Here is a 10,270-nt window from a genome sequence, read left to right on the forward strand (position 1 = left end):
GTTTCACAGATGAAACACAAACACACACACACACGCACACACACACACACACACACACACACACATAGATGTTAAGTAAGGAGCAAAATTGGATTTTGAGCTCAGGCGTGTCTGGCCTGAAATTCATCTCTCCTGAGTATCATCACCATCTGACCTCTCAACAGAAATCCTCAGCCTGGGGTGTCTGCTCAGTCCTCTCCATTTGAATTTCTCCAACATTGCTACCTATACTATTCGCTCGACTTACAATAATTATGTGGATATTTTTATTCCAATACACATATAATCTTCTCTTTCAAATATGGTATTAATTTATCAAGAGCATAATGTGTATCATTTGCCATTGTTCATAGTAGTTGTCTAATACAGTGCTGAGGAAAATTAAGTGTTCAATAAATGCCACTTAAATAATGAGAAGAGTCAATTATGTCTCCAATCTTAAAAAGAACATACAGTGTTTTTCTGAGCAAACCTGTCAGAATGATATAGTATTTATTTTGAATTAAAAAGCACCCATGTAGGAATTAACTAAAAATAAAGGAAGGCCTAGGCCATGGAAGACAATGAGGTAAAAGGAAGAATGTTGTTTGGTATCACAACTTGCTATTAAAATAAATAACTATTGTCTTTTTTGTTCCTTTTCAATACATGTCAACACATCAGGCTTATATTCTACATTTCTAAGTGTATCTTCTTCTAACTGAATTAATTTATGGAAGTGTTAACATACCCAAAGTTACCACATTTCTCCAAGCCACCCTGGGTGATAATTTAAAAAGCAGGTATCAGAAATTTGCCTGTGGCCAGGACCACAGTCAATGTGTTGCTGGAATTACGGTAACGGGCTGGCTTCTTTTGACATCAACAGCATGCTTTTCTTACCGCAATTTGTTCCTCTATATTGTTTCATCATTATGAGTACTTGTTTAAAACCCATTTACAAAGCGGATTGCCAAGTATTGTCTAGAACTATCACAGGAGATTTAGGTGCGTGAAGTTCACGCTTGGTTGTTAGACTTTTAACTGCTTTTTGCATGCCAAGCATAGTTAATACTCAAAAATACCGTGCTCAAGGTGATGAAAGTTCAGTTTCCTCATGGCTGCCTTTACTTGCCTATTCTTCTCCCCACCCACCTTCAATTTTGGTTCCAGAAAACATACTGTCTCCCAATAGATTGTTAACATTCTTGGAAGCAATTCCAGTAAGGCTAGTTTTGTGGTGGTCTAATCCCTTCTAGCTGCACTCCAATTTGGCTTTTTATTGTTATTTCAAATAAAACGATTTTACTGCCTCACCAGTTCCTCTGTGTAGTAAAAGTCTTAGAATATTCCCGATGCTGTTTTTTGAAATGAATAAATTCAGCCTTGGGGAAACTGCGGTGAGATTTTGGTGGTTACTGATATCATGCAAAAGAACTCATGACGAACCCGTGATTCAGTCGCGGCTACGCATGCAGGCGTGTCTGTACACATACTTACCAGCCCTGAGACCTGGCGACAGTGGAGCAGCGCTCTAGGGAACCCGGCCAGCGGGCTGATGTCCCACGGGCTCCACAGAGTCCTCCATCATTTGCAACCACTCTGACGCAAACATGCTGCCAAACTGAAATTGAGAACATAGAAAACTTGACAGGACGATAGGGAAAGAAGGGGAGGAGGGTACATTAAAGAAGATTGGAAAAGAACAAAGAAAAGTAGAGATCAGTGTGGAAGGGCAACATTTCTCAACCATTATCAGCACTACCAGCCTTGCAAGACAAGATTCCCAGGGCCTTGTTCTGTCTTAACACTATAATACAAAACTCGAGAGCCAATCTCTTACTCCACTGAGAATCAATTTGTTTATGTCACTCAGGTATGATATTGAGAAAAATATTGAATTGCTTTTAGTGAACAAATACTAGTTTGTGAGTTCAAAGCTTAGTTTTGATTAGGCTCATGAGTAAGTTGATCTGTGAGACTATCCAGGATGTGCTGCATTGTGAAAATGTGTTTCCAGTTTTCATCCAGGCAGCCCTCTTTCCTGCCTTCTCCCTGCTCATCCAGACCACAATTACACTTGCTATTTGGAAGACTCTTCCTTTGAAAGCATTTAGAAGTATAAATAATGGTATGTTGGTTTCATCCGTCACAACTAAAAAAAAAAAATTACTTATTTTTTGATATAAGTACTTCTGTGGTATTTTAAAAATATTTTAATTATCGATTATTCTCTGGGACCCTGGGACTTAGGAATTGATATAACAGTGAACGCAATCTTGACTGTAATTTTTGGTTTGTTCTTCACAAACTTTCAGTGGCTGCAAAACAGTGTGAATTGAATTGGTCAGACTTCCTGTAAGGTAAGGTTAAAAACAGTTTAGGATTTAGGAATTGATATAACAGTGAACACAATGATCACTGAAATTTTTGGTTTGTTCCTTACAAACTTTCAGTGGCTGCAAAACAGTGTAAATGGAATTGGTCGGACTTCCTATAAGGTAAGGTTAAAAACAGTATGACCCAGAAAGCAGGGGACATGATTATAACCCCTGATTTTAGAAAAGTCACTATCAACTAGAGGTCTTAATGTGAGAATATAACTAATTTAAAAATCATATTTTGGGTTTTTCCCTCAAGTATTTAGGGTAAAAAGAATCTCATGTTACTTGTTTCATTTAGTCAGATTTAAAGTTCATAATTACACCATGGCACTCTATAGGTTTTTGAATCAATTGTTTAAGAAGACAGGTCACTGTGGTGTAATGTGTTGACACTTTCCTATTGCTGATTTGCAAAATTGGGAGTATGTTTATAAAAGGATAAAATAAGCATAGTTAAATTTTCCAAATTAAATAAAACACAGCTAATTTTAAAGTTATTTATTTCAGATTTGATATTCTACAAATATATTTTCCTGTAAACATTGATATAATTTTCAATATTTTAGAAAAATTAAGTTTTAACAAGTATATTAAATGATTTTACTACTTTGTTTTTATTTTCACTTTAGTTTACATTTCTGATGAAACTATACTTAAATTTGTTATAATGAATATATTTACATGTTATTTTTAATCCTTTATGTTGTTATTGTGACAATTAAAATTATGAAAACATTAACTACAATACTATAATTAGCTATTGTGCTAAAATTAAAGCAATAAAAGTAAATTTTATTGTGTAATTCTACACAATTCAGACCTAACTTCTGAATTTTATATATATTTTTATAACTCTTCTAAACACTACCGATACGTCTGCAGGGTGATGTATGTTCTACAATAATTTAATACATTATCTTTGATATTTCATTGACTTTTAGTTAAATATTTTACATTTTAGTGTTTTGAAGGTGCAGTTAGCAATGTAGGAGTGTGGGGTATCTTTTATTAAATAGTTTTCATTTGATTCATGCTGTTACAGACAGACATATGGTCCATGGGCTTCCATTTGTACTCTTGCTCCAGGCCCTGCGAATGTTGGGCAATTTCACTCAGTTTTGACAGACTAGACAGAGCATGAATTTTACCTTTGCCAGATGTGCAGAAAGGGCTGTTTCTTTGCAGATGTTTCATTAATATGAGAACCTTGAAAAGATCATATTTTCCAGTTTACTTAAACTTGAATAAATTATAGAAAGTAATTCATACAATATTCTAAACATGTGAGATAAATTATTGAAAAGTTGTTTGACCTTTTTTTTTTTTTAAACATGAGAAATTATATTCCAGTGACAGTCCTGGATATTGAGTTTGGACTTACGCAGTAATATACACAGCACCAATAAAGTAGATCTCATTATTATGATTTCACTTATTATTCATTATTTTTCTTTGTTACATATTGTATGTCCTTTTATGTGGGAGTTCTATGTAATGTATTATTTCCATTTGAAGAGTGAACACACTCTGAGGCTGTCTACAGAGGACCTTGGTGATGAATCTATCTAATCATTCATCATTTCTCTTCCCCACTGAACAGCTTGGCCTGCTTGACTCAGTCTTCGTGATTCAAGATGAGAGTCTGTCTGAGGCGTGCTTCTCTCATTGCTGCCAGAGGCCCTTAGTGGTGCTGCTGTGTTTCAGTGGACAACTTTGGTATCTTACTCAATTAAAAACTCTCCTTTTGATTATCATTCCAGAGTTTATCTTGAAATTTTCTATAGTTTATTTTTCTTTAATTTTTCTTATATGCCCAGAACTTTGCTTCTTTGGATCGTTTCCATCTTTACTTTCAAATAGTCATAATTTATAAGCTTTTGCTTACCTCACACTTTTCCAAGTTCAAGTAGTTTCACAAGGCATGGTGCCAGGGCATTGGGGTATGGTGCTCTACCATTAAGTAAGGGAATTGGTGACTGGTTCCACTCTGTGTTTCACAAGTTCTCTGGACAATGTCTTTAGCTCTCTGGGATTCTAATACTGTCTGTAGAATTAGTACCAGACTAAATGGGCCTTTAGGTCACATGTAGCTCTAACATTTCCAAATCGTTACTATTGTTTCAGATACCCATTTGTCCAGTTAAAGAATAGCAGATATATATTTATACCAATATGTAAGTTGCTACATAGAAGGAAGAAGTAAAACGTTAACTGCCTCTTTTTAATGTCGAAGAATACCACATAGTTTTAGAATTGTAGGAAACCATGAATGATGTGATGTTCTTATTGTTTGTGTGTTTGTGTGTGTGTGGGGGGTGAGTGTAATTATATAAGCATGGTTTCTTTTACATCACATCCTCATTTTGTATGCTTTAAAGAGTTCTTGCATAAGATTGTCCTTATATCACTTGTCCCTCTTCCATTGAGATGTTAGTTACTCATCTCCAATTTAAAACTAAGAGTTTTATTGGAATGTAACTCACATAGCATACACTTACACCCATTTAAAGTGTACCATTAAATGTAGTTTATCTTGGATTTTACTTTTTAAAAAGTACTGATAAGGTATACTTTTTTTAGAAAAAAGTACAGTACAAGATAAGCTACACCTCATGGTCAATGTGTGATTGAGTTATAGTTTTATACAGGGATTGGTTAATGCCATAAATTAGGAGCATACTTTCTGTTTTACTTATAAGTGTTTTGTAACGACCTCTTCCTCACCACACTGGAATACACACATGCACACATCATTTTTGTTGAGTTGGAGAGGACAACAATGATATGAAAGCATAATTTTTTAGCTATATGTTGTGTTAATGTTTTTGAGAAAACAATATTATACTACATCTGGTGTGATATAACAAAAAATAAGCCAGTTATTTAGTAAGCGTAGGATCCATTCAGCAGTTACAAAATAAGGAAGATCTTCCGGGTGCTAAGATGCTCTGGTTTTAGTCATGCTGTTCATGGGCAACTTTCTAGCTCTGCACTCTGTTTCTACCATTTAAAGAAAAGAATAAAAAATAACAGCTTTAATATAATGTAGTTTACACATTCTCCTCCAAATATCCAGTCCAGTTTTTAGAGATTTTATTATCCTCTAAATAGTTATTACTATTTTCAGGCTCTCAGAAACAATATTCTCCAAGCTGGGTAATATGTATCCCTGAGGTGATAAACTTTTCAAGGGTAAATGGCATGAATAATATTTTAAAAATTTATTACTAGATCTTCAACATTTATATGTACACTATCCTCTGAGTGTATCTTCCTGAGAACTAATCTGTGACCCAAATAGCCCCCCTAAAAAATCACTTGTATTCCCTTTTTATACAATAAAGGCACATTTCTTATCCACTTTGAATCTTACCTTGGTACATGCCACCAGGTGGCAAAATCTTTGTGTCACCAAAGAGGTGATTTGAAATATCAGTGAGAGTGATGAGAAAATGAGTGACGCTAATGAGTTGGTAAGAAATCCTTTTGCAGGTTTACTGGTTTTAAATTCTTCGCTTTCAAGAATATTTAAGGAAGGTAATACAATTGCCAGCAAATAGAACATTAAAAATAATTTTGGTGAAAGATCATTTTGTGCCTTTTGGCATAAAACTTGAATGGAATTTAAAGAATTGAGTGATAATGCCCTGGAAAAACTCTTTGGACTTCTATTTACTTAGTACATGAACATAGACTCTTAGCCTTTACATTTATAAAAGCAAAAAAAATAGGAGTAGAATTTATACAGTCTAATCTAGAAAATAATGATATTGATAAACATTTAAACCCATTGGATAATAAAGCACCACAAAAAAATCAATAACAGATGTATTTCCAAAATTGTTACTTTTTATGATTACTAATTTTGGATGTGAAATATATATAATAGTTACATTGTTTTGATCAATTGTGAACTAACACAATTATTGTGATGACTTTTCAATATGGAACTTTCTTTTTAACACTCAGACATTTATGGTTCCCAAAGAATTTAAAAATTTTAAATTCAATATGTACATAATTTTGCTGAATAGAAGTGTAAGTGATGACCGTAAGATTTTCAAGCATAAAATTGTATTACATTGAGATAAAACTCTGTTAGAGGGGAACAAGAATGAAAATTCTAACTCATAGGGAAAAAGACAAATATAAAGTTTACAACTATTTAAGAGATTGTTTATATATTTATAAATGTATAATGGTGAGTATCAAATCACTATATTATTTAGACTGTTTTGGATACATTTAAGAGAATCATCTTATTCTGTTCATGCCACTATAACAGAATACCACAGACTAGGTCATTTAAAAAGAAGACAGCTGTAGTTTCTCTCAGTTCTAGAAACTGAAACGTTCAAGATCAAGGTGCTGGCAGGTTCTGTTGTCTGCTGAGGACTGCTCTCTGCTTCCAAGATGGTTCTTTGATGCTGCATTCTACAGAGAGGAGAAATGCTGTGTCCTCACATGGTGGAAGGTGGAGAGGGATGAGTGAGACAAACTCTCTTTTTTTATGAAGGCTCCAAATCCCATTCACAAGGGGAGGAGGCTTCTTGATGTAATGAACTCTTAAAGGCTCTACCTTCTAATACTATCAAATTGGCAACACCTGAATTCTCGAGGAGACACATTCAAACCACAGCAAGATTTATAATAGCTTTATTTTAAAAGCTAATATTTATAGTATACTGTAATTTACATATTTTGCAGGTAATTAAACTTCTGTTGAAAATTTTATTTTGACTTCTAAATGTGTGGGGGATTTCTCCAACATTCCTTTAGAATTAAAAGAACAAAATATGATATTTATTTACAAAATCATCCCATATCTTATAGCCCCTTTTAAAGATAAGAAATGAATGAAACTAGTAGCTCAGCTACCCAGTAAACCTCTAGACATCATGAATTCATAAAATTATTAAATATTTTTTATTAATGTAGTCCAGACATAAAATTATTTTTCTCTAAATAAGATATTTCATGTTTGGTTTTAAAAATTAACTTTATTATTCTATAGTGGCTCGGTACTGTTGTGCTTTAGAGTATATCCTTGGGGGCCTTCATTCCATTCAATGGTACTGTCTTAAGTTCATTTGTGTTGCTATAAAGGAATACCTGAAGCTGGGTAATTTATAAAGCAAAAAGGTTTACTTGGCTCATTCTTCTTCAGGATGTACAGGAAGCATGTGATATCGTATGGCTCTGTGTCCTCACCAAATCTTATCTTGAACTGTAATCTTCACGTGTCAAGGGAGAGAGGTGACTGGATCATGGGGTCGGATTCCGTCCTGATATTCTCATGATACTGACTGAGTTCTCATGAGATTTGATGGTTTTATAAGCATCTGGCATTTCCCCTGCATACACTTCTCTTTCCTGCTACCATGTGAAGAAGGTCCTTGCTTCCCCTTTGCCTTCTACCATGATTGTAAGTTTCCTGAGGCCTACCCAGCCGTGTGGAACTGTGAGTCAATTAAACCTCTTTCCTTTATAAATTACCCAGTCCTAGATAGTATCTTTATAGCAGTGTGGGAATGGACTAATACAGCATGGTACCAGCATCTGCTTCTGATGAGGGTCTCTGGAAGCTTCAACTCATGACACAAGGTGAAACAGAAGCTGGCATATGCATATCACTTGGTCTTGAACTCCTGGCCTCAACCAATCCTCCCACCTTGGCCTCTCAAAGTACTGGGATTACAAGCATGAGCCACCACACAAGGCCCAAAGATCACTTGGCAAGAGAGGAAGCAAGGTGGGGGAGAAGGTTTTAGGCACTTTTTAACAAGCAGCTCTCAGTAGGAATCAATAGAATGAGAACTCACTCGTTTCATTACTGTGAGGGCAGCACCAAGCTATTCATGAGAAATCCACCTCCATACCTCCCACCAGGGCCTGCTTCCAGTATTGGGGATTAAATTTCAACATGAGACTTGGTAGAGCCAAACAAACCGTATCTAAACCATAGCAGGTACCCACCTCAACTAGTGCCTGCCACACTTTCTAGGCCATTATACATTCATGATGCTTCTCTGGCTTTCTAGAACTCCAAATTAATCTTGGCCTCACTGTGCACAAATGTAGACTTCTATTTTCTAAATTCTATAGACATTATACCCTTGTGAGTTTTTTTCTTTATATTAATTAGTTAATTTATTTATTAATTTTTGGAGCGCTCCTGCTATCCAGCAGTCCATAGTTTTGATTATTTCATAAATATTGCATAGAAGGGAGCTATCTAACTTGCTTAAGAGCTATAAAAAGATGACAAAATACTGATAATAGAAGGAGGGTTCTGGGAAGATGGAAGAGTAGGAAGTATCAAGAATCTGTTTCCCTACCTAACCAACAATTGCACTGGTAGAATCTGTCTGATATAATTATTTTGGAACTCTAGGGTCTATTAAAGCCTTGTAACTTTCAGGGGAAGTGTTGGATGGCAAATTGTAGTTAATTTGGATTGCTCTTAGTGTTTAGCTCAGCAGCAGCTACCCATCCTCCACCTCTAGCCCTGTGGAAAGCAGCCATGCACATGTTCCTAAAGCAGCTTACATGCAGCTTGAGAGGGCCAGGGTGAGCAAGCAGAACTCTACTCCAAATGTTGGAGATCCGTGTTCTATGTTCTGATCACTGATTGCTGTTACTAATCAGGAAGGTGCAGACATCTAGGTGGTTAGCTGTTGTTGTACCCCTCCCTCATTGTTGCAGCGTCTCCCTCTCAGGCTAAATAAATATACTTAGCATTTAAAGGGCTGAGGCCATTCCTCACCCCTTCATTTTTTTCTTTTTTCTTTTTCTTTTTTTTGGGGGGGGAACCAGATATTAAAGACTGGGACACTCAAACCAACTATATACATATAAGGTGATTTAGAAAGCTACCATACATGCACAGAGAAAAGCAAAGGCCCATTAAGAGATCTGAGAAGAGGCTAGGTGCAGTGGCTCATGCCTATAATCCTCGCACCTTGGCAGGCCAAGGTGGGAAGATTGCTTAAGGCCAAGAATGCAAGACCAGCTTGGGCAGCAGAGTGAGAACCAGTTACTAAAAAAATTAAAAGAAGTTACCCAATTGTGGTGGTGCACACCTGTGGTCCTAGCTACTCGGGAGGCTGAGATCACTTGAGCCCAGGAGTTCAAGATTACAGTGAGCTGTGATCACACCATTGTACTCCAGCCTGAGTGACAAAGTGAGACCCTGTCTCTAAAGAAACAAAAGGTTGGATGCAGTGTCTCATGCCTATAATTGCAGCACTTTGAGAGGCTGAGGTGGTAGGATTGCTGAAGGCCAGGAGTTTGAGACCACTCTGGGCAATTAGTGAGAGCTCCATCTCTACAAAAAATTAAAAAATAAAAATTAGCTGGGGATGATGGTACATGTTTGTAGTCCCTAGCTGAAGTGGGAGACTGAGGCAGAAGGATCACTTTAGGCCAGGGGGTTGAGGCTGCAGTGAACCATGATTGCGCCACTGCACTCAAGCCTGGGTGACAGAGTGAGAAACTGTCATAAAAAAACAATACAAAACAAAACGAAGACCTGAGAAGACCTTAAGTTTACACCTCAGGCTGATCTTTAGCATAAACACAACCTACAATAAAAACAAAAGAAAAACAACAAACCTTGGGGAAAGGAACAAATCTGATTTTCATAGTTGCCACATTAGTAGATTCAATTGTCTGGTTTTCAGGAAAAAATCACAGGGCATGAAATGGCAAGTATGGCCTATTTAAAGTAAATAATAATAATAAGCCAACAGAAACTGTACCTGAGAAAAATTAGATGGCAAGCCTTCTAAAAAAGAGAAGGCAGAAGAAAAAAAAATCAGTGAGCTTAAAGATAGAACAATAAAAATTAACAGGTCTAGGAAATGGAAAGAAAAAAGATTTAAGAAAATTGAAGAGAGACTGTGGGA

General features: G+C 36.0%; 1 annotated feature.

Moving 5' to 3' along the window:
* Nucleotides 1,452–1,678: a silencer, noted in NCBI's record as "fragment chr5:39740675-39740901 (GRCh37/hg19 assembly coordinates)". NCBI's record gives its function as "represses an EF-1alpha promoter that drives an FKBP-Casp9 reporter gene in an ReSE screen in K562 erythroleukemia cells {active_cell/tissue: K562}" and the evidence as "EXISTENCE:reporter gene assay evidence [ECO:0000049][PMID:32094911]".

Source organism: Homo sapiens, chromosome 5 (assembly GCF_000001405.40).
Source record: "Homo sapiens chromosome 5, GRCh38.p14 Primary Assembly".
NCBI classification, from domain to species: Eukaryota; Metazoa; Chordata; class Mammalia; order Primates; family Hominidae; genus Homo; species Homo sapiens.